The sequence below is a fragment of the Homo sapiens genome, chromosome 8 (genome assembly GCF_000001405.40).
Source record: "Homo sapiens chromosome 8, GRCh38.p14 Primary Assembly".
Classification (NCBI taxonomy): domain Eukaryota; kingdom Metazoa; phylum Chordata; class Mammalia; order Primates; family Hominidae; genus Homo; species Homo sapiens.
The window spans coordinates 66,121,163-66,144,990 of NC_000008.11; the positions used below are offsets into that span (position 1 = coordinate 66,121,163).

Genomic DNA, 23,828 nt, shown 5'->3' on the forward strand with positions numbered 1-23,828 from the left:
GGGACCCATCTAATTTCCCCAGACATACCTGGGAGACTGGAAAACTGTTGAAAGAGGGGAAGGTGGTGGTGACTTTGCTTCAGTTTTTCAATGTGTCTTAACATACTCCAGCCCCAGGCTGGTGGGACTCAGAAACGAGGGACAACCAGGACTTCCAACCATGGCAGCTCCCTGTGTAATTGCTCCCGATCAGTTTCTAGCTTCTGTCCTGATGTGTGTGGTAAGAGTGGGGGTGGAAGTGGGGCAAGCAATGCAGTCCTTCTATATAAACCAAAATACCTTCAGGAGACTACACTTTGTTGAATTAAGTTTGACCTAAAGCTACCTTCATACATATTTTAGGTTTCACCTAAAGATTTCTTGTACATAGTGAACTGTCACCCAACTGGGTGTCTAAACAGACTGTAACGTGCTCTTGTAACAGGTCGCTGAGTCTCAGCCAATCCCAGGTGGTCAGCTGTTAAACTGGGTTCAAATAAGGCAAACGCTGAGCTGTTACCAATCCAGCTAACTCTGTGCCTCACTTCTGTTTTCTGTATATCACTTCCTTTTCTCAGTCCATAAATCTTATCCAACCGTAGGGCAGCCCTTGAATCACTGAATCTATTCTGGTTCTGAGGGCTGCCCCATTCATGAATCATCCTTTGTTCTATTAAATTTTGTTAATTTTAATTTGTCTAAATTTTTTCTTTTATCAGCTGGTTTTCATGTCCCTGCGCAGGCTCAGGTCCACTCCAAATCCCGGAGCCTGAAGATGACTTAAATTCTGATTCAAGTCCAGAATTTCCCCAACCTCCTGGACCCTGTGAATGATTTGGGAGTGAATAAAATGTTCTGATTTCTCCTTAGAGCAGAGCACTCCCTCCTGTGTCCCACTTACAGCTCACACACCCACCCCATGGATTGGTGTCTGAGAGCAGGGAGGAGCAAGGAATGGAGAAAAAAGAATGCAGAGAGGAAGGTGGTTATTATTCATGTTGGGAAGGGAAAATAAATCTTGGGGCCCCCAAATCACTAAGCTAAAGGGAAAAGTCAAGCTGGGAACTGTTTAGGGCCAACCTGCCTCTCATTCTATTCAAAGTCACCCCTCTGCTCACTGAGATAAATGCATAAATGGAGAGGCTAATCAGAAACTGAAAAGAATGCAACCATTTGTCTCTTATCTACCTAGGACCTGGAATCCCCCTCCCCGCTTCGAATCTTCCCGCCTTTGCTTCGAGCTGTCCCACATTTCCAGACCAAGCCAATGTTCATCTTGCATGTGTTGATTGATGTCTCATGTCTCCCTAGAATGTATAAAAACAAGCTGTGCTCTGATCACCTTGGGCACACGTCGTTAGAACCTCCTGAGGCCGTGTCACAGGCATGCATCCTCAACCTTGGCAAAATTAACTTTCTAAATTAACTGAGACCTGTCTCAGATTTTCGGGGTTCACAAGGTAAACCAAAAATATGATTCTAAGCCCCCCAACTCACTGATGGATGCCCCTTCTCGGCCAAGGTCATTCCAAAGTAAACCTAAAAAACTAGTTCAGGCCATTATGGGAAGATCACACATGACTCCTTCTAGCCTCTTCCTTTTAGAATTCAGGCTTAGCTGATCAGTATTAACACTAAAACAGAGATCTTAAGACTGAACAAACAGACTCTTTGTAGCAATAAGATACCAAATTCCAATCTGACTCTAGTATAGCATCGTATGACAGATAGCAGGCCCTGAAAGAAATTGAAGTATTTTACCCCAAAATATATTTCTTTGAAATATTTTGAAATGGCCCTGCAACACTGTCTCTTCTGAGGAAAATCTACATTCTATAGAGAATCCCTTCCTTTTGCAGGTCTTTTCCCTGATCCAGGAGAGATTTAACTAAGATTTAACTTCTATTCTCTCTGAAGCCTGCTACCCGGAAGCTTCTTCTGCACAAGGGCATTGGTCTTCACAACCCCTTATCTAAACCCAGACATATCTTACTATAAATTCCAGGTCCTTAGATAATATCTTAACTCTTTTAACCAACTGCCAATCAGAAAATCTTCAAATCTACCTATGACCTGGAAGCCCCCACTTTGAGCTGTCCCATCTTTCAGACCAAATTAATGTATATCCCCACATATATTGATTGATGTCTTATGTCTCCCTGAAACTTATAAAACTACACTGTAGCCTGACCACCTTGGGCACCTGTTCTCGGGACCTCCTGGGGCTGTCACAGGTCATGGTCCCCATATTTGGCTCAGAGTAAATCTTTTCAAATATTTTACAGAGTTTTACTCTTTTTCATTGACATTCATCAACTGGGCTCTTACTCCTGTGGGATTCATGCTGTTTTCCTGTGTAGCCTCCAGGGACAGTTCTAAGAAAAAGTAAAAGGCAGGGAGCAAGAAAGAACAGAGAGAAAAAAAAAGAGAGAGAAAGGAAGATAGAGATCAGCTCTGTAATCCCAGAGTTTTGGGAGGCCAAGGCAGGAGGATGGCTTGAAATCAGGAGTTCAAGACCAGCCTGGGCAACATAGCAAGACCCTTGTCTCTGCAAAAAATTTAAAAAATTAGCTGGGCATAGTGGTACACGCCTGTAGTACCAGCTACTCAGGAGGCTGAGGTGGGGGGATTGCTTGAGCCCAGGAATTTGAGGTTTCAGTGAGCTATGATTGCGCCACTGCACTCCAGTTTGGGCAACAGAGTGACCCTCTGTCTCTTAAAAGAAAATTCTGTTTCAGAGGTTTTTGTTTTTTTCTACAAATACTGCTAAATTAGGTTATGAACCCCACTCACTTATAGAGGGCAGAACTGAAATCCTCCTAGGTGAAGTCACTTTCCAAGACCACAAAGGGAGGTAGATGCAGAAGCTGGGAGAAAGCCTGACTGTCTCTGACTCACTCTGCAGCCTCTCACTACATCGTCGGTTACTCAGGCTCAGGCATCTGAGTCATCTGTGTGGATTCTACTTTCATAGCAGCCCCAGGGATCATTTCCTCCTTTCCTTCCCCACTGCCATGACCTGTGCCAGGGCTTCGCGACCTCTCACCTGGACTATTGGCAACAGCCTCTGATCTGGTTTTTAGCCAGCCACCTTCATGCTAATCTAACCCAATCATCGCTGAAAGATCAATCTAACCAACCACTGCTCTCACGGAAGTGTCCAGTGAGAAACTTTTAACGACTTCCTGCTGCTTAACTTATTAAGTGTTAAAAACTCTTTAGCACAGTATCCATGGCCAGCCAATGCTTGAGCGCGTGCCTGCACTCCAGCTCAAGCCACCGTGGCTCTGAGATCCCCTGCATGCCTGTGCATGCCCATGTTGCTGCTTCTGTGCCTTCTCTTGGAAAGCCCCAGCCATGCCCCACCTAACTACACGTCCATCCCTCTGAGATCCTCGGTGCAGCAGTTCAAACACTACCCCCACCCATGAAGCCCTTCTGATTCCTCTGACCCTGAAATGCTGTAGCTGTTGTGAAAGGAAAATAAATATTGGTATCCCAAAATCATTAAGCCAAAGGGAAAAGTCAAGCTGGGAACTGCGTCAGGCAAACCTGCCTCCCACGTTATTCCTAAATAAGATAGCTACAAAGATTTAAACGCTACATACCTCCCTTACAATTTGCACACTGGGAAATTCCTTATAGGCCCCAATATCTTTACCCTAAAACAGTTTTGTTGAATTTTACCCTGACAGTGTAAATTGACAGCTTATCTTCACAGGCATGGTACGAAGGACAGAACTCTAAGTCATCTCTCTGCTCACCTGAGACAAATGCATATCTGCTTTCTTCCTCTAATGTAAAAATGCAGACTCACTGAGCTAAAGGAAGACATAAATGACTATTATTCCTCTACCCACCGCCCAGCCCCAACATGTAAATTATGTATTTGGTGAAAGGCTGATCAAAGACTCAGAAGAATGCAACTGTTTGCCTCTTATCTACCCACAACTGAAATTTTTTTTCTCTTTCCCCAATATCCATTCTTTTCCCTTTAAATATTAAAGCCTTCGAAATCTTCTTTGGAGAAAGATGCAGGCCTGCCTCCTGGCACGCGCCCTTAACCTTGACAAAACAAACTTTCTCGATTGAGACCTGTCTCAGGTACTTTTTGGCTTGTACTCTTTATCACATTTTATTTTGTACTATGTTCTGTGTGTGCATGTCTCATCTCCACTCTTATACTGAGCTCCTTGAGGCCAATGACCTATGTCTTGTTCATCTTTCAATACCCAGAGCCTCACACAATGGAGACACACTACACATATCCAATGAATGTATTTTGAAGGAATGAATTCCTTCTAAAAGAAAAGACTCTGCTGCAATGTGCATGATTAGTCTAAGTGCTTTTACTTAGATAGCAAGGTCTTTTGCAGTAGAAACTTAATCTTTCCTAGAAAATATCCCACATATTGTACTCAGACCTCCCCTCCATAGCCCATGAATTGATAAACACAATTAACTGCCTAGGCTGGGTGAACCAAAGTAACTCAGTAAAAAAACTTTACCAGTTCCCGTCCTCCCTGTAGTTGCTAAATAAATATTGAAAGGACTAAGATAATTCTCTAAAGATCCCTGATATGCTTATGAATATATATAACTTATTATTAGTTAATAGAGCTTACTAGATTCTCAATAAGCTCTCCGTGCACACAGCACTAAGACCACACATAACTGACCTACACTTCACTGGTAATTTAATTCACACCAGGGATATGTTAACAAAATGTGTTTATTGCCCAAGGTTTTTAAAATGAAGGAGAAAGAAAGCCGAAATTTATCACATATAAACAGACTTGGATTTCTTTTTTATTTTTGATCTGATTTAAACATTTTTAAATACAATATGTATTGGTTAAACTGTTGCTTCACAAAATCCTGATGAATGTCAGAATCGATGTTTATGACTCAAGAGCAGACCAAGAATATCAGAAATGACCAGAGAAACTATGGTTTAACAAGTCACCTTGGAGGAAGGGGAAATGCAAGGGAGAATAGGTATTTTGGAGGCAGATGAAATGCAGATATGGAAGTAGGACTCCATTTATACTTCAGTTGTCAATGGCACTGGTAACTGTCCCCCAAGGGATGACAAAATAAAATAATAGATCTGCCACCTCCAGGTGCCTGCCAGTTACTACCTCATTACAGATTATTGTTGCAAACTATTATATAATTTAAGAATTTAAATAATCAGTAAAAGACTATCAAATTTTCTTTGTGTTTTTGGGTGTATGTAGGAGGTGGGGCAGTATAGGATGAAAGAGGGCCAAGGAAGAGGAAAGCAATGTGGAAGAGCAAACAGCATACTAGAGTTGTTTTATAATGTAACTTTTTTCTCAAATAATTAGATCATCCACTGGTTTTGAATTTTTATTTATGCATGTATTTATTTATTTATTAGGTGGATACCTTTATGGTGAAGGGATTTGAATTTAGCTTTTAAATTGGAATTTTTCAAAGACCACAACCCCAGCTGACAAAGATGAAATACTTAACATTAAGAAAGTCTTTTTGATGATTGCCTTTGTGAAGCCAGGATAACAATTTTCGAGACATGTTTTGTTCATTTTCACCTAAGAAGGTGCTATTAGGCTACTTTCCGTGACTCAATTCCTACACTCTCAAGACAGGGCTGGCATTAGTTACACAGACTCTGTGCTGCGTTCTGCCCCTTCCTGGAGAAGCCATCGCCAAGTTCTCAGTGAGTGCTCACAGAGGGCATGGTTCAGTGGCTAGGCATGCACATTTGCATTTGTTGTTGACAACTGTCAGCTTCGACCTCCTTCTCCTCACAACCCCGTCTAAATGGGGTTTGTAATCCTCCTTCCCACCCACTCTCTTCACTCCCTGGGGCAAGAATGTTGACTCCTGCTCTCCGTCACCTGTCAGGATCCATCCTCCTGTCACTGGCTTATATGGACACGTCAGCCCACCGTCACGTGACCGCAGGCTGCTAAAAACAGCTCCAGCACCCACTCCAAACCAGGGCCTGAAACAATGTCCTCCACCGAGAGAAACGTAAAGGACACTTGATCACACAATCCCTGGAATAATATCCAGGAAACACTTGCTGGAGCCACTCGCAGCACCCTTCCCTGGCAGCACACTTGGGGACAGCGAGGAGATGAGCGCATCTCTGAATTACAAATCTTTTTCCAAAGAGCAGCAGACCATGGATAACTTAGAGAAGCAACTCATCTGTCCCATCTGCTTAGAGATGTTCACGAAACCTGTGGTGATTCTCCCTTGTCAGCACAACCTGTGTAGGAAATGTGCCAGTGATATTTTCCAGGTAGGTTTGTTTGGAATTTGGTTGAGGGGAGGGGGTGGAAAAGATTCCCTCCTCTTGGAATCAAGTGCTTAACATTGAGGTGAAATCCTTTAAAAAACTTTATAAGGTTGCCGGGCGCTTTGGCTCACGCCTGTAGTCCCAGCACTTTGGGAGGCTGAGGCCAGTGGATCACCTGAGGTCAGGCCTTCGAGACCAGGCTGGCCAACATGGCAAAACCCCATCTCCACTAAAAATACAAAAAAAAAAAAATTAGCTGGGCATGGTGGCGGGCACCTATAATCTCAGGTACTTGGGAGGCTGAGGCAGGAGAATTGCTTGAACCCAGGAGGCGGACATTGCAGCGAGCGGAGATCGTGCCATTGCCCTCCGGCCTGGGCAACAGAGCAAGACTCTGTCTCAAAAAAAGAAAAACAAACAAACAAAAAAACTTTATAAAGTTGCATTTACTTTCAAGAAAAACACGTTTCTTTTAATGATTTGGTTTGTGTCCTCTTTACTCCCAAATCTAGTTTTATTTTAATACTAAGAATCATATTTTTTTTTAAGTCAAACCATTTAATGTGTTTCAAAACTATAAATGAGTAACTGCTGAAGACATGAGTGTGGAGTTTCTGGCTGGAACTTTTGGTTCTGAAAGTGGTGGACGGAAAAGCACCTTACGTGGACAATGGTATATTCGCAGATGACTGTGGATAAGGTCTGACCCTGTGTTTCAGGACCACTTGCTGAGAAAGCCCTGAGGGATGATCTTATGGCAAGCTTAAAGTAGAAGTTCATGTTGTTTGTAGTAGCAGAGAGTGAAAATAAGTCTCAGAGAAGCTGCTTGTGGCATTACCCAATTCCTTTTTTCTTACTTGGCAAGAACAGGCCTCTAACCCGTATTTGCCCACAAGAGGAGGTACCACCATGGCATCAGGGGGCCGATTCCGCTGCCCATCCTGTAGACATGAAGTGGTTTTGGATAGACATGGGGTATATGGACTTCAGAGGAACCTGCTGGTGGAAAATATCATTGACATCTACAAGCAGGAGTCCACCAGGTAACACTCTTCCACTCTTCCATGTGTCAAGCCCATCTGAAACTTGTTTTTGTTTGTTTGTTTTAATGGGTTGCTACGCTGAATGCTTGTTTATCAATCACAGACTGTTTTATGGAAAAATGGTTTTCCAAGTCAGTCCTTCCCAGTGAGACTGAGAGTTGCTCACAGCAGGAGAGAGGGGAGTTGGTGCCCATGCTTTTGTATCAATTTAAGAATGAAGTGACTCATTAACACCAATCCATTCCAGATGGTGATGCTGAAAGAGACATACTGCTGTCCCCCTCCACCTTAAAGCCTGGTATTACATCCATTTTACACATTTTGCACTTCACAGGCACTTTGTAGCTCCAGATCCCTACAAAGCAAAGAAAAAAAAATCTAGTAAATACTTAATAGAAAATTAATAGAAATGGCATCTTCCGAAGTAGCCCAGTTCCTAGTTCAGACAGTCTTGCCTTAAAATTGTTTGGATGATAATAAAAACAAAATCCTCTAACATAGGTTGTCACTGTATTTACTCTAAGGGAAGTCACAAAGCAAGGCAAAACCCTGGCCTTTAGGGACTTAAACTTCAGAGCCATGAGGAAAAAAAAGGGTGAAATTCAGGTTATGTTTCCCTATTCCTTATACTGTATTTACTGCATAGTCAGCATTCACTTGTTGATTGTGAATAACATCGTGATAGCATTATATATCTATCCATTCATTTTTAAAAAATAACAAAAAAGGCTTCTTATTCACCAAACCACATTGGCTATAGAATTCCTTTCCTAGACACAATGCTGCGGGAAGCTTATTCCTAGAAGGCACGGTGTGAAGAGCCCCTTTTCAATTGTGTGCAGGTCAGTCCAGTCCACAAAGCTTGATAGCAATATTGAGACCATCTAGAAATGGCCTCATTGTGATTCCATTAGGGGACACGTATTTATGGAACATCTGCAGAGCTCTAAGAGGCTTGTGCTCTTGGAAGGAAAGCTGTTCTATAAATCTAACATAATTATTATAATTATTATAGCTATTAATTTCCGCTAAAGATCCAAAACTAAATTAGACAGTACCAGGATCTAGATGGGTTTGGGGAAGAATTGCTGATGACATATTGCAGAGATTGCAGCTGGCTGTTTCCCTTGCTTCCAAAGTCTCTTGACAAGAACAAAAGTACTATTGCTGTTGCTGTTACTTTACAGATTTGATCTCATTGTATTTCACTACTTTAAAATACAAATACACACTTGTCTCTTAAAAACTTAACCAGCCAATTAAAAACCAATTAATTATGAGATTGATGCAAAAGTAATTGCGATTTTTGCAATTACTTTTCATGGCCAAAACAGCAATTACTTTGCCACCAACCTAATATTAAGAGAGTTTATATAACAAGAGTTTCAGTGCTAGTCCAGTGTCTTGCACAGAATAGTTGCTCCATAAATCCCAGCTGATTAAGCAATACCACAAATATTCTTACGTAACAAGTTTCAGAGCTAGTACAGTGCTTTGCACAGAATAGTTGCCCCATAAATCCCAGCTGATTAAGCAACACCACAAATATTCTTTCATGTTCTATTTATTGCAATAAATTTATGTTTTGTTACTTGTCACAGTGGGAACTTGAGACATGAAAAAATAGCAATACTTGTTATGAAATCCAGAGAAGAGATGTTAAAACTTGCAGTATTGGTAAAACTACAAAACACATCTTCACCTTAGCTATGAAGTTGGCTTGGTGCAGCTGCCAAAAATAGTACCCAGGCCTGGGAAGTAAATTGCGTAAAAGCAATGAACCAAATTTCCAACAATAAAGCTCATAGTTGAGTGAACTAGGGATGCTTTTGTGATTTTCTGTGATTTTGTTATGCTGTTTTTTCTTGAACTTGAGACTTTCCTGTGGGACAATTTTACTTGGTAGCAAAACCACAAGTTGCACAGAGCACTTGGCCACATGTCTGGGAGGAAACGCAGTTGTCCCCTGGGGGCAGACAGCCTTACTAGACCAGAATCTTGAGCCTCAGGGTACATTAGGTAACACTGGAATGACCTTGGATATACAGAATGAAAAGAGTTCAGCTGTGGCTATTGGAAGGGGGTCGGGGGGGGTGACCAATCACAGACTGGGATGTTGTCAGTCAACTCTGACCTCCTCCAGAAAGGCTGGAGACTGTAAGTCTCCACAAAACCTAGCATTCTTTTTTTTTTTTTTTTTTTGAGATGGAGTTTTGCTTTGTTTCCCAGGCTGGAGTGCAGTGGCGTGATCTTGGCTCACTACAAGCTCTGCCTCCCAGGTTCACGCCATTCTCCTGTCTCAGCCTCCCAAGTAGCTGGGACTACAGGCACCTGCCACCACGCCCAGCTAATTTTTTTGTATTTTTAGTAGAGATGGGGTTTCACCGTGTTAGCCAGGATAGTCTCGATCTCCTGACCTCTTGATCCACCCGCCTCGGCTTCCCAAAGTGCTAGGATTACAGGCATGAGCCACTGCGCCCAGCCAAAACTTGGCATTCTTATCCAGAATTCTGCATGGTGCCAGACTAGCCACAGTTGGGAGTGGGAGATGGTAAGAGAAGGTACTATTTTGGCTAATATTAATAATTAATATAATAATAATTAACTTTAAAATATAACAAGTAAAACTACTATGTGCTGCATGCCAGACACTGTTCAGGGTGCCTAACACATGAATCATGTGCAATTCTTTAATTCTCACAATAATCCGGTGAGGTGTTGATTATTATAATTACTGCTACCCTATTAAAGCTTTTAGTGCCTTAAAGTAATCAACATACACAACTTTTAGAATTCATTACTACTGGGCCTCTGAAGAGAAATGCAGTCTCCACTCTGTTCTCTCTTTACCCACCCCCAAGCCTCATTCCCCAGAGTCAACCACTTTTAATTCTTTTAGCTGTTTTTCTGCTATTTATCACCAATGACATGTGCATACTACTGGTATGCTCCTATTCTTTGATTTTTCAATTTTAGACATTTTCTATTGACTTTCCACTGTAGACAATTAGGACTGAGCCCTCACATGGCTGGGCTTTACCTCTACTTGGGAATTCTTTTACTCTCCCCCTGGGTTGAACCCCTTGCTCCCTGGATTCCAGGTCTCCTTGTTTGGTGGCTTACTCTCTTATTTCTATGGAGCACATCCTCAAGTAATCTCTTAAAACATGCACAAAGTCCTCCTCTTTTCAGCCTCTCCCAGTCTGTCACCGCCTACTTCCACCTTCAGGACTACTGGCTCCTGCAGTTCCAGAGCCTTTCCAGGGTTCCATAGCTCAAGTCAGCTTGCTTATTGTAAGCTTCTCACTGCAGGAATGTAACAGAACTAAGATGCAACTCAAGTAGGTCATGTCCCTTCATCCAGATGTTCCTAATTTCCAACATTTGGTTGACATCTCTCATCTGCTGTCATCTGTGCTCACTTTTTGTCCTTATTGATTTATGCCCTTTTATTTCCTTATCCTCATTTCACTGGGATTTCAGCAGAATAAATACATAAATACATACATACATATATAAATACATAAATAAATACATGCTTGTGTTCATTCTGCCACATTTAATTAGAAGACCCTTAATCTGATATTTGATACGAGTAAAAACTGAGACCAGAAGAGGTTAAGTAACTTGTCTAAGGCCACATAGCCACTACATGGAGAAGCTGAGCTGAAATGAAGCTTTAAGATCAGTTTGGGCAGGCACAGTGGCTCACGCCTATAATCCCAGCACTTTGGGAGGCTGAGGTGGACAGATCACCTGAGGTCAGGAGTTTGAGACCAGCCTGACCAACATGGTGAAACTCCATCTGTACTAAAAATACAAAAAAATTAGCCAGGTGTGGTGGCAGGCACCTGTAATCCCAGCAACTTGGGAGACTGAGGCAAGAGAAATGCTTGAACCCGGGAAGGTGGAGGTTGCGGTGAGCTGAGATTGAGCCATTGCACTCCAGCCTGGGCGACAAGCAAAACTCCATCTCAAAAAAAATATCAGTTTGACTACAAAGTTACTACTTCAATTGCCTCACCAAGACCAGATGCCCACTCCTCAGGAAACTCTAGGGTGGCCCCGGGAACCTCAGAGACCAGAGACAGCAGGCTACATACTTCTCAGTCTAGCCTACACTGAACGGTGAGGGGCCACAGCCAACATTTAGCACTGGGCCCTGACCACAGCTGTGAGCTTGGCTGCTCTCACCTCATAAACATGTATTTATGTCATTCTTTTACATGCCAAATCGGTCCCAAGTCAGTTACATGTTTGAAGTTGTACAGAGGTTTCATTATATGCTCATCTATGAGTAAGTGGTGCCTCTGGGGCTGGGCTACAACCTAAATAAGAAAAACCCAATGAGGAATATGGGAAATTGTTCTCAGTGTATACAGCACCATGAAAAAAATAAATAAATTGAATCACAAACAAAACTAAATGTAGAGCCTTATGGCTGTTTTCACATTTTCAATATTTGCATATACTGCATAGACCTGTGCTCTATGACGCAATCTCTGGTCACAGCTGTTGATATCAGAACAGCATGTGGGACCCAAGCTGCCCACTCTTGCTTAGCCCACATTAATAATAAGGTGGAGATACCTACGAGGGAAGGGTTTAGAGGGGAAGAAGCCTTTGACCAGGCAGAGACCAACTTGCCAGTCCCAACCCCAGAGGGCACTGTCATTTATTAAAGGAGTAATCAGGATGTGGTCTGGTCTCTTCCTCTGCCACTCAGGAGTGCCAGGTGATCCCAGGCTTTCCCCATATTTGCCATGCCTTCTCCAGCTGGGTGGTGTTACACTAGAGCACAGGGAATACTGTCCATTTAATAGGTCAAATTCCCTTTCATTGTCTCACTCATTTGTGCAACAAATATTTATGGAGCCACTGCCTCTGTGCAAGGCACTGTTCCGAGTACTGGAGATGCAGCAAAAAAAAAAAAAGACTCATCATGGCCCCTGCCCTTATGGAGCTGATATTCTAGTGGAGGAAACAGACAGACCTGAGAGGAGGATAATTTTCTCAATTGTGGAGTTGACTTCCTTATTTGAGTTCCAAATAATGTGGTCAAATCAGAAGGTCATAGACTTCATGGAAAGCATATTGCTGCAAGACCAGACAGAAATTCCTTTTGCAACAGTCAGATTCTAAAATTTTGAAACTGGAAGTCCGTGCAATTTTCTTACAAGACCCAGGGCTTCTCCCAATGTTTAGCCTAATCTCAAGTAATTGACGTCCACCTAGCAACTTATAAAGGAACATTAGCGTCTTACAGAGGCACATCAGCACGTTCTCTGCCTTTCTCTGAGTTCTGGGTCTGCAGCTACAAGATACCACACATCAAAAAAGATGGGTTTCAAACACTTGTATTCATGATTTACAGTAGGAAGTGCATTTTACATTGTGACCACTTACATATATGGACGGATATATATACACACACATATGTATATACACACATACACAAACACACACACACACACAAACACACATATACTTTTGTTTCAGTCACATATATACACACGTACACCTGAAACAAAAGTTTCGAACAGCAATACTTATTTTTACTACATGTAATTCACAGTATTTGCTATTCCATTCTATTTTTATTTTAACAATGCAGATCATAGCTCCCTAAATTGATTTCATGGCTCATAAAAACCTGTAGTTTTTAAAAATTGGATCTGTATAGCAACAAAACAAAATGTAGTCCCAAATCTAAGATGTTGCTAAATAACTATGTGTTTGGAAATTTGAAGAAAGCTTCTGGATTTGGATTTGAATTTTTTGAATACTTCTGAAAACTATTAGCAGCCTCAGTCATTAGATAGGATATATCAGAATTCCTGGGGTTTATATAAGGAGGTACACCCACACTTGCGTCTCATACACATTTGCATCCAACCAGTACTTGAATTAATAATCAGAAGATTTTGGTTCCATGTGAGCCACACCTATCCTCATTTCTTCAGGTGAAAAGGGTCTTTCCTGGGGCCAGAGGCTGGAGGGGGGCGATCTAGCTACTCCTAAAAGCTGGTGCAAACTCGACTTTTAGTTCATCAACAATTTCCTGTTCTTGGTCCATAATGGGAAAGTGTCCCTTGAGAAACTTGTGAGCATGTAGACACAGTGCTGGACCACGTTCCTGATGGCTCACCAGGGTTCGATATTCTACTTTCAGGAATTTCACTACCAGATTCTGAAACCTTAAATAACTTAAAATTGGCCATGTGGAAATACACCATGGAAATGGGCAAATGGTACAAATCAGGATCTCCACGTCTCTGTCCCTACCCCAAGCAGGTTGTTAGAGATTTGCCAGCACTCCCCTGCTACACCTGCAGGGAAGCTGAATTTGGTGGGCTCTGAGCATGTGAAAGGGCCCCTGGGGGTCTTCTGGAATAGAATTGCTGGGCATACAGGGAAGAGAAGGAATTTGCAAGGCAGAGCAACATCAGCTCTGCCTTGATGAGATTGCCCCAGTGAGAGCTGATGGACATTTATCTGCCTACCTCCTCCCAGGCCAGAAAAGAAATCCGACCAGCCCATGTGCGAGGAACATGAAGAGGAGCGCATCAACATCTACTGTCTGAACTGCGAAGTACCCACCTGCTCTCTGTGCAAGGTGTTTGGTGCACACAAAGACTGCCAGGTGGCTCCCCTCACTCATGTGTTCCAGAGACAGAAGGTAACAGAGCTGCTCCCTCCCTCCCGCAACCCCTCCCCATCCCCACACCTTAGGGCCTTCCTGGGGCCAGTGTGAGTGGCTCCCTGCGGTGGAGGAGGAAGCCCAAGCCACGCAGGGCCATGGGACACTGGAGGGCACACAAGGTCTGCAGGAAGACATGTGCACAGTTGTGCACGAGGCACACACCAAATTCCCTGGACGGTGGGGGACCAGGCGAGACAGGGCAGGGGTGCCCAGGTTCAGGAAGTGGTGCAGAACGGCACGATCCCTGTTTTTGTGCCCTTTGGAGGTTGCTGATGATGAGCAATGTTAGGGGACCCAGCAAAAGCTCAAACTGCTCCAGCTTATGTGAAGTTTAGACTACAGATAAGAAAAGGACAGCTTTTTACCCTAGTCACAGAATACTTTCCTTCATCCACCCATGAAAGATTTCTTTGGCCCTCCTCAATGCCTTTTATCCCGCACTCTTAGTGAGGGAGGGTTACACTGATGACATGCAGTTACAGAACAGCTTTAAAACACAGACTTGTGCTGGCCCTCCTGTCACCAGGGCCAGTTGCCTAAAAACCCCTCTGAGTGTGGTGTCTCCCCCTGACCCCAGGGCCTCAGCCATGGCCCCCTAATTCTGAGCAGACAGAAAGACAGTGTCTCCCTCTACACATTACCAACCTGCCAACCTGGTTTCATTCATGAGCAGGTCAGAATTTATCCATCTGGTACAGATAAAAGTGGAGTTGGGTACTCCAATAGGTGCAGCCACTCCAGGCACCGAGAACTTGAGCAGTTCCACTACTCAGTTTCTTTCATTTAGAATCATCAGTTCCACATTTGATCAGTGTTTTACTGTGAAGATCAGTGCTGAAATCAAATTTGGAAGCAAAACTCTTGGGCAACACCAATTACAGCTAGTGGCCACTAAGTCCTAAAGAAACAGATTTTGCAAATTATCCACAACATTTGTTTATTTTTGAATCCAGTTACAATTTATTCCCCCTTCTCTTCTGCCCACCTCCCCCAAAGCATAGCATAATAGAACTGGATGGTAGCTGTTTCACACTCCTTCCTTCAGAGCCTGGAGACTCATGTGAGATGGACAGAAGAACAGACTGGTGGGACCCTCACCCTTGCTCCTGTTTGGCCAAAGCAGCTTCACCTCCATATTAGCTTTCACTTGAAGAAGGTTCTGCAGCTTTAAAATATTTTATAATCACTGTTCTGGTCCAATCTTCTCCTTCTAAATGTGAGAAAATTAGGGTCAAAATTGAATATATGTTTTGCCCAACATCACAGAGAAGTTGGGGGTAGAGTTGGACCAAGCGCATGGGTCTCCCAAGTGCCCCTCCAGTGCTCCTGGTGGCTCCATCAGCCAGTCTTGGGAAGGGGGTAAATAGGAACAATAGAATCTCTTCCTAAGTCAAAAGAGCAAAGGAATTTAAAAGTTGACATTTCTCCCCTAGAACTAGTTCTTTGTTTCAGTGTGAAGTTTGTAATGACTTAGTCTAATGTGTGAGTGTTTGTGTCTGTATACACTATATTCTTATGCCCATAATAAGTATTTGTTGAATAAATGAGTATTTACTATACACATTTCCCAAGTAAAATTGACCCTTAGTTCCACTAGGCAAATAATTCCATTTGGGTCCCTGAAGTCACATATTGGTCTCCATGCTATTTATAAACAATACTTAGAATTCTTTAGCTTGAACATGTTGATCTTAATATTAAGACTGATGAAAACTGTGAAACCTTTCCCTGCACAAATGGATTCATACACAAAGGTTTGCTTGCAATATCAGAAGGTCCACAGGCCTCCCTGTTAGTCCTTAGGGGTTGCATGGATCCTAAATTAAGAACCTGTAAAGACAATATTATGACCAATTCACAGTCGGGGTGGCTAGGAAACCCCTAAGATATTGGGTTCATGTTTTCTCTTCATTAGTCTGAGCTCAGTGATGGCATCGCCATCCTCGTGGGCAGCAACGATCGAGTCCAGGGAGTGATCAGCCAGCTGGAAGACACCTGCAAAACTATCGAGGTGAGTCAGGTGACTCCCACAGCGTCTCAACCAAGCCTGCAATGCCTGGGGGTTTATGACTTCCTTAGTGCCACACTAGACATCCCTATTCTGACCTTTCATTCTTTGCTTCTAGAATGGCCTCCTTCCTGATATGTCTCTGAAATATTCACCTCCTGCACAGAAAGAGACATTATCACATGAGTCACTGAGGCAGATGTTACCACAATTACTAGGGCTGTTGCTGTATGTGTTGTTCTTTCTTCCTTTTGAAAGATTAGCTACAAGAAAATTAAATCCCCCATCATGGAAATCAGTGTTGTTGCTATTACAGCAAACTTTCCTGGTGGAAATCCAAACTGTCTTAGGAAATGCTCATCGGTGCTTTAGACAGTCATAGGCAGGTTTGAGCTGCACTTCTCTGCTCTTACAGCAGTGCTGCGAAGTGGCCATAAGGAGGAGAAAGATCTGCCTAGCTGTAGTTAGAGAATGGCTCAGTGGCTGGGAGCTCATGGAGGCCAAGAGTTTGAGCTCATTCATCTCCACTTGCCCTCTGCCTGGCCCAATGCCTGGCACATAATCAACACTGAAAAAAAAAAAAAAAAAAAATCTTGCTGAATGAAGAGATGAGTGGCCGGTTGTTTAGCTCATATTTGAGCTTGCCGTATAATAAATAGAGCAAATCTACTTGTCCCTCAAGATCAAATATAAAGTATGTCATTACCGGAGGCCTTTAAAGTGTGGAAGCCTAAAGAGAGTTAGCTATGTGGCAGATATCTTTTCAGGAATTGAAAATTCACTGACTAGTTACATCCGTGCTGCTCTGGGGCAGGTGCAAGACACCTGGGTTCAAGTCCAGGCCCTGGCTCTGTAACTGGAGCAGTCCATTACAATCTCCCTGCTCTAAGATTTGGGGTCATTGTTTTTGTAGTTGGACCTCTGTGCAGAGGGTGGAGGTATGATGCTGTTCAGTTCATGGCATATAGTTCTCATTGCTGTGTGCAAGCCTCTCTTGTTATCTATTTATTTCCCGTTATCCTCATTTCCCACTCTTGTTCTCCTCCCCATAGATTGCCACTCTAACATGTTTGATGTTCTGTTTGTATTCTTATAAAATACGTATTGTGTTATATACATGTCTTTTAATTTTATAAATGGTACTATGTGGTATTTTTCATTCTGCTTCTTACTTTTTAAAAAACTAAGCATTATGTTTTTGGGGTTTTTGTTTGTTTTTTGGGATGGAGTCTCACACTGTCACCCAGGCTGGAGTGCAATGGCATGATCTTGGCTCCCTGCAACCTCCACCTCCCAGGTTCAAGCGATTCTCCTGCCTCAGCCTCCTGAGTAGCTGGGATTACAGGCTCCCGCCACCATGCCCAGCTAATTTTTTGTATTTTTAGTAGAGGTGGGCTCTCATTCTGTTGGCCAGGCTGGTCTCAAACTCCTGACGTCCTGATCTGCCCGCCTCGGACTCCCAAAGTGCTGGGATCACAGGCGTGAGCCACCACGCCCAGCCAGCATTATGTTTTTAAGATCCATTCGTGTTGCTACAAGGAGATTCAGTTTCTCAGTTTTCTCCTCTGTAAAAATGGGGCAATCATGGTACCTATCTTATAGAGTTACTATGAATAATTAAATAAGCAGAAGCAAAATGCTTAGCACAGTGCCTGGCATGTGGTGAGTGTTCAATAAATACTATTCTTATTATTTTATCATTAGAAAGGCAAGTTCTATTCAAAGCTAAAGGCCATTTTCTAAATGAGGGCTTTAGGACATTAGCTATACTTATCTCATTTTAAATTTGCACACTATTAAAATCAATCTCGTTTCTTCTCCACACTCATATTCCTGAAAAGATCCATGATCAGTCTGGGATCCATTTATAGAAGGAAAGTTTTCTCTTGGTGAAGAGCCGAAAGAGATTAGGAAACAGACAGTACAAACTTTTTTCTTTGTACTTATTTACAGTAAAGGCAAAATACAATTTGGTCATAACACCGTGAATCAGCACTCCAGGGTAGTACCAAGCTGAGTCTTGAGTTTATAAATAGGAGCACGTTGCTTGTGGGTGAGCGAGGTAATCTCAGGGCTTTACCGGAGATGTCTGTTGGAAGGAACAGGCTTTCTGTCTGGGATGGAGAAGCTGGAGAATGCACAGGAGAAGAGTCCTGGGGGGTCCATCTGGGCCTTGAGCAATTTGATTCTTGAGCAAATGCAAATGATTAGGGCTCCCTTTAGCCAGCATCAGAGGACACTGAGTGGGCCGCAGAGATTTGACAACAGGTTTTCTTCATAGAAGCCGATCAGGGGCATGGTAGGAAGTGCTGTTTTTATTCACCGAAATGACAAGAAGGAACAGGTTTGAAGTTAAATCAGCAGAAGGGATTAGTGCAGATGTCAGGAAGAACGTCCTGGCAGGGAAGGGCAGGATCATTACCCCCATTCTTATTGGCAATACAATTCATTGAACATGACACACTTTTCTAATAAGCATTTTCACAGGTGGCTAGGGGAGGGTATGTAATCATTCCCTGCAGGACTTTATGATGAGGCTGCAAATTATCAGGAGTCTTAAAAGTCCATCCTTTTACCTGTTTATTTCATTTCTTTCATTTATTTCATACCTGTTTTTATAAGATGAAAAAACATAGCAAATATACGTTCTTATTTATTGTTTAGGATGTATATTCATATATAACAGTACAGAAAGTACAGTCATGCACCATGTAACATTTTGGTCAATGATGAACTGCATATATGATGGAGGTCTCATAAGATTATAATATCATATTTTTACTGTACCTTTTCTATGTTTAGATATGCTTAGATGCACAAATACCATGTATTACATTTTCCCATAGTATTCAGTACTGTAGCATGCTGTACAGGTTTGTGTCCTAGGAGCAATAGATTGTGCTATACAACCTAAGTGGGCAGTAGGCTCTGCCATGTAGGTTTGTGTAAGTACATTCTGTGATGCTCACACAATGGAACTGCCTAAGGATGCACTTCTCAGAACATACTAGTTAAGCAACCCGTGACTGTGGATATTTACATATAGCCTCCTATACATTCATGGGGAGAAATTAGGAATGAAAAACACCAAAAGTTTAAGGGCAGCGAATAGTGGGACTGCAGGTGATTTTCACTGCCTCCCTTATGTATTCCTGTATTCACATTTTTATAAAGTAAGTCTGACATTTTTAATAACCAGCAAAATAAAGAATAAGTGAATATGACTCACATGAGCATAGTTCTTTCAGATCAGTTTAGGTGGCTCATCTGGAGATGTAGAGATGTTCTCAAAGCCCCATGGAGGTCTCCGACTTTATGAATCCCTCTTGACACATTAACCTTTGTTTGAAGCATCCCTGAGGACAGGGGCACTTCCAGATGGCCACCCTGTGCATCTGTCATCGCTGGGGTGATCTCCCAGAGCCAGTTCCATATCAGTGGGCAAAGCCCAGAGGCTCAGCTTCTTGCCAGCCTGCAAGGCAGGACAACATGCAGCAAACCAGGTCCTTGGCTTGCAGTGAAATGGTCCTAGCTTGAGAGCCTGGTGGATTATCTACCAGGGTCAGGGCCACAGAGCTCTTGTGTCTCTGGTTCTGCCCGGGGTTCGTTTTCCTTTCTGGCTTTGCTCCCACCTGCCCAGAAACATGTTCTGAGAAGCTATGAGTGGTTCCTGGCCAGGGGGTGGAGAGCTGTTGTTAAAGAATTCTCTTTTCTGATTGGTGAAGAGTTCCTTAGGGATGGGAAATGAAGTAGTCCCTGGGGTGGGTATTATCCTTCCATAATTACACAGCCTCTCCCCGCCTGGGGCACTGACACCTGCCCCAGAGCCCTTTGGTGGCTGTGCTTTCCTTGCACATGTCTAATTTTGTCCTAATCATGTAATGTCACACAGGACTGGCCTGGGGAGGCACCTGTCCCAAGACCAGCCCTGAAGCAATGCTGAGCTTAGGGTAAATTACACTGTGGACTCCTTGTTATCCTTTAAGAATAATGTCTGCATTAACATGAATTTACTGTGATAATGAAGAAGGATTTGAGAATGCCTATAGTTGCAAAAGGGTGGTTTGAAAGGGGGAGTGGCATTTTCCTTCCATGCTGTGGGCTGATGGTGAATGAACTGAGCCGTGAGTCTTTTTACCTCCGCTTCTTGAGAGTGGCTTGGCCTAAGACGTTCCCTGAACTCCGGACTGCAGGCTGATGGAGGGCTTCTGGGCTGTTCCATGAGCCCAGCATGATCTGAAGGTTCACTTGCCTTTCTAGGCCTGGAGCTGTTCTGGAACAGAATGGAACTGGATGGGGGGCTGCCTGTAGGAATGGAAATGTCCACTGGGGAGCTCTCTGCTTCCAGGGAAACATGCTTGACTTTCACTTCTCATCCCTAGAGAACATAATCTACCTCTTGTGAACTTTACCAGTGGAACTTATCCTATGTCACTGGATACTTAAGGGCACAGGCTGTTAATACTGGCCATCCCAAAGGCAGGCTGGCAGGCCTAGAAACATCCCTGTTTTGTATGGCCTGTCTAGTGGAAACTGTTCCAAGTAAATAATAAATATTTGATATTGAGCATTTCCAATCTCTGAAAAAGGACAACTTGAATAAAACCCTCCAATGATTTTGCAGTGATAACAAATTCATTGTATTTCCAAAACAGTGATTTTACCCAAAATGACCATTTCTAGTCTCTGAGACATTGTCCATGCCATTACAAATATGAAGTATGAATATAATTAGAGTTGTTTAAATACCATGCCAGAATTTTAAAGGCAATATAACATATGTTTAAAAGAACAGATTTCAGAGTTTGAGTTTTAGTTCTGTTGCTTAATTACACGACACTGGGCATGTTACTTAAGCTTCCTGTCTCTCGGCTTCCTCAGCGTTACAGTGGGGATGATAATACCTTCTTCACAGCATTGTCATGATGACGAAGTTGAAATAAGAGGTACATTCCAGGGGCTTGGTAAATGTCACCTTACAGCCTCAGAGTCATCTTGGAAAGCACACACTTATTCTGATGATGTGATCCAATAGGAACCTCTAGAGATTCTGGAGCATCTTTTAAATGATGTCAGAAGACTATCAGGTCCTAGTTAATTGTGATGGCAGGACTGAGCATCTCCCTCTAGAGGGACACGTTGAGAATGAATGGAGCTACAAATGACTTCCGTTATTTATCTAAGAGGCTTTGTGGCAACTGGAAATATAGGCAACCAAGGGAGACTGAGCCTCTTCTGGGAAACATGGTGACTACCCACAGCAGACCAGAGTGAGATAAACATCTGCTCAGTCTGACAAGTGGCTTTCACTGAACCATGGGGTTCCTGTCAGAACAGGCCCACCTGGCCCTCAGCCCTTATAGCGTCTACTCAAGAAGATTCTAAATGATCTGGCTTAGCCCAGAAAAACCAAAATGCCAAGAACCCCAAGAGTAAGTGTTAGAAATCCCTCAAATTACCGTATAATTATCCTTCGAACATGGAGCGGCAACATGAAGTAGTAGAAAAGAGCCTGAGTTTGGAAGACCCGAGATCCACAGCCACTGAATGGAGTTGTTTGCTGAGCACTACACAAAGGGGCCAGCTGGTGGAGGGCTGAATCCCAGCCTGGGTGCCCAGAAGTTGGTGTCTCTGTAGTTTATCTGTCCCCTTTCTAGGGACACCCTAGTCTGTACTCATGGGACTTCTCCAAGTGCTTGTAACTGGAGCTTTATGAATGAAAGGCTGGATTTGATTTTCTTGGAAGGAACTTCTTACTTTAATGTAGTTCTTTTTTCAGTATTGTTAATCTACAGGCTGCTTTTCTTTTCTTTTTTGGAGGGTTGGTGGCAGGAAATCCTGTTTGCTTATTGAAGGGAATTTTGAAGTTCCTTATTTCAAATGAAGGTATAGCTCTAACAAGTATGTCTCGATGAATGTTGGAGGAATGTGGTGGAGATATGAATGGGCCTAATCAAGCCACAGTTGCTCAGTGACAAGTGGTGGGTCTAAGAGCTTATCTTCAGCTCTATTTTGGTCACAGAGCTGTGTTCCTTACATGGTAAGAGCAGTGGTCATTGTTGCTTTAGGTTTTTTTCCTATTGTGGCCATGGCACGTGTGCAAGCTAGTGCTGAGCTTTCAGGGCTAGGACATGTAATGTATATCTTAATGCTGTCGATGACACAAGACTTGCCAGGAACAGAGGGAAGCACATCATAGCCTAATGACTCTCTGAAACTTCTTCACATTTACCTGAAATTAGAGAGTCTTGGCACTGTAGAGTCAGAAGGGACTTTAGCAATTATATAATTCAGTCTTTCACTGTACAAATACAAACATACTAACAACTGTCCTGAGGTTCAATGGTTTCCCAAAGGTTGCATAGCTATATTTTACTGGTTTCTTGGTTTTTGGGTTTTTTTTTTTTTAACACTGAATGAAGCAGAAGCTTGGAATATCCACTTAAATACCTATTTCTTTGGAACAGAACAAAACTGAAGCTTTTGCATGAAGGCTGAATATTTCTAGATGCAAGTCACATTTTATTCATTCATTCATTCATTATTTCAATCTATATTTCTCGAGGGTGCATTGTGTGCCATGTTCTGTACACATAATGCTGGGAACTAGTGATGAGCTAAACATAAAAGGTTCTGTTCACAGGCATTTTTTATTCTAATAGAGGAGTTAGGCAGTAATCAAATGAACAACAAGATCATTTTAGAGAGTGATAATTACCTGAGAGAAAAGTGAACCAATAAAAATCTAGCCATTTAAAACAGTGGTATGATGGTGCTTTGCTTGGAAGGCTGTCTTCTCTTTTAATGTAAGGTCATCTATTGTTGATTTTTCTTTCCATGAAATGTTCTCTTTACAGTTGCATATTTTGTTTTTCTTATTACTACTAAAATATAAAGGTGGCTAGAAATTGGAGTCTGCCAATTTTAACATTTCCATGATGGCAACAGTTCAACAATGGCTTTAGGTCAATGTTAAATGTTACCTACTCACTTCTAAGGAAACAACCAAATGACCATTTGATTTTTTTTCTTTACATCCAGAAATGTTGGCATTGGTTAGAAACAAATATCCCACCCATCATCATCTTACCATTTCAATATGGGAGGGATGATCTTCACTTTATAAAATCATCCCTTTTTGGTATATTGCATCCACACTGCATTCTCCCTAGAAATGGGATGAATTTTATTTTCATTAAAATATTATAGACAACTTTAATTTGGTTCTCCCAAGAAGCCAAGAAATATAACTGTCCTAGCAGACCCAGGAGGAAGGCTGTGCAGCAGCCAGAGGCTTTGCATCAGAGTATACCCGGAGACCAATACCTACTTCATTTATGGTGGAGGTATACTTCACTTGCTAAGCACACTCACACAGGTGCACACACAGAGGATGTAGGAAGCACAGACATCAAAAGGAAGAAAATGGAGACTATTTGAAAAGATAAACTCGAAAGCTCAAAAAGTGTATATCTTGATTGAATTACTGTCCAGAGAAGAGGGGAGGTGTATGGCTCCGAATTGGTCTTAAAGATACATACCTTTTTACTCAAGTAAATGAAAAAGTATGCTAAAAGCAAGGAGCAGTCTTTGAGATGAGGAAGTTTTTGTGGAGAAGAGACAAATATGGTTGCTATCATGCTTTTGTAGGTAACAACAGTCCTTTAAAGTGTTCTGTCTGCAGACGTTTTCACAATGCAAAAGTCCACATTTTTTCCTATTCCATTTTTCAGGCTGCTAGAAAGTCACTGCTGAAAGTGTTGCAGATTCACATTAACAAAGGCACAGTAGGTACTGAAATTC

The 23,828-nt window shown here is 42.5% G+C and overlaps 1 protein-coding gene across 8 annotated transcripts in view, besides 7 other annotated features; it reads left to right on the forward strand.

Moving 5' to 3' along the window:
- Positions 1-23,828, forward strand: part of TRIM55 (tripartite motif containing 55) — a 62,135-nt gene that overhangs the window by 7,812 nt on the left and 30,495 nt on the right. For 6 of the 8 annotated variants that reach the window (NM_033058.3, NM_184085.2, NM_184086.2 and 3 more), the window contains exons 1-4: positions 5,967-6,274; positions 7,142-7,314; positions 13,828-13,993; positions 15,933-16,028. In NM_033058.3, coding sequence (NP_149047.2) covers positions 6,107-6,274; positions 7,142-7,314; positions 13,828-13,993; positions 15,933-16,028 — 603 coding nt within the window. In that variant the 5' untranslated portion in view covers positions 5,967-6,106. Of the gene's footprint in view, positions 1-5,966; positions 6,275-7,136; positions 7,315-13,827; positions 13,994-15,932; positions 16,029-23,828 lie in introns of those variants that run through there. The other 2 variants (XM_017013908.2, XM_011517617.3) reach the window with 2 other exon arrangements.
- Positions 2,356-3,555: an enhancer, noted in NCBI's record as "P300/CBP strongly-dependent group 1 enhancer chr8:67035753-67036952 (GRCh37/hg19 assembly coordinates)". NCBI's record gives its function as "activates an origin of replication core promoter dependent on BRD2, BRD4, P300/CBP, MED14 and CDK7 cofactors, with strong dependence on P300/CBP, by STARR-seq in HCT116 cells {active_cell/tissue: HCT116}" and the evidence as "EXISTENCE:reporter gene assay evidence [ECO:0000049][PMID:35650434]".
- Positions 2,356-3,797: a biological region, named in NCBI's record as "P300/CBP strongly-dependent group 1 enhancer GRCh37_chr8:67035753-67036952".
- Positions 2,667-3,232: an enhancer, noted in NCBI's record as "H3K27ac-H3K4me1 hESC enhancer chr8:67036064-67036629 (GRCh37/hg19 assembly coordinates)". NCBI's record gives its function as "activates a minimal SCP1, AML or CMV promoter by ChIP-STARR-seq in naive and primed H9 embryonic stem cells {active_cell/tissue: H9 hESC(naive and primed)}" and the evidence as "EXISTENCE:reporter gene assay evidence [ECO:0000049][PMID:30033119]".
- Positions 2,760-2,819: an enhancer, noted in NCBI's record as "active region_27474". NCBI's record gives its function as "activates an Ori minimal core promoter by ATAC-STARR-seq in GM12878 lymphoblastoid cells {active_cell/tissue: GM12878}" and the evidence as "EXISTENCE:reporter gene assay evidence [ECO:0000049][PMID:35858748]".
- Positions 3,160-3,409: an enhancer, noted in NCBI's record as "active region_27475". NCBI's record gives its function as "activates an Ori minimal core promoter by ATAC-STARR-seq in GM12878 lymphoblastoid cells {active_cell/tissue: GM12878}" and the evidence as "EXISTENCE:reporter gene assay evidence [ECO:0000049][PMID:35858748]".
- Positions 3,233-3,797: an enhancer, noted in NCBI's record as "H3K27ac-H3K4me1 hESC enhancer chr8:67036630-67037194 (GRCh37/hg19 assembly coordinates)". NCBI's record gives its function as "activates a minimal SCP1, AML or CMV promoter by ChIP-STARR-seq in naive and primed H9 embryonic stem cells {active_cell/tissue: H9 hESC(naive and primed)}" and the evidence as "EXISTENCE:reporter gene assay evidence [ECO:0000049][PMID:30033119]".
- Positions 5,513-5,785: a silencer, noted in NCBI's record as "fragment chr8:67038910-67039182 (GRCh37/hg19 assembly coordinates)". NCBI's record gives its function as "represses an EF-1alpha promoter that drives an FKBP-Casp9 reporter gene in an ReSE screen in HepG2 liver carcinoma cells {active_cell/tissue: HepG2}" and the evidence as "EXISTENCE:reporter gene assay evidence [ECO:0000049][PMID:32094911]".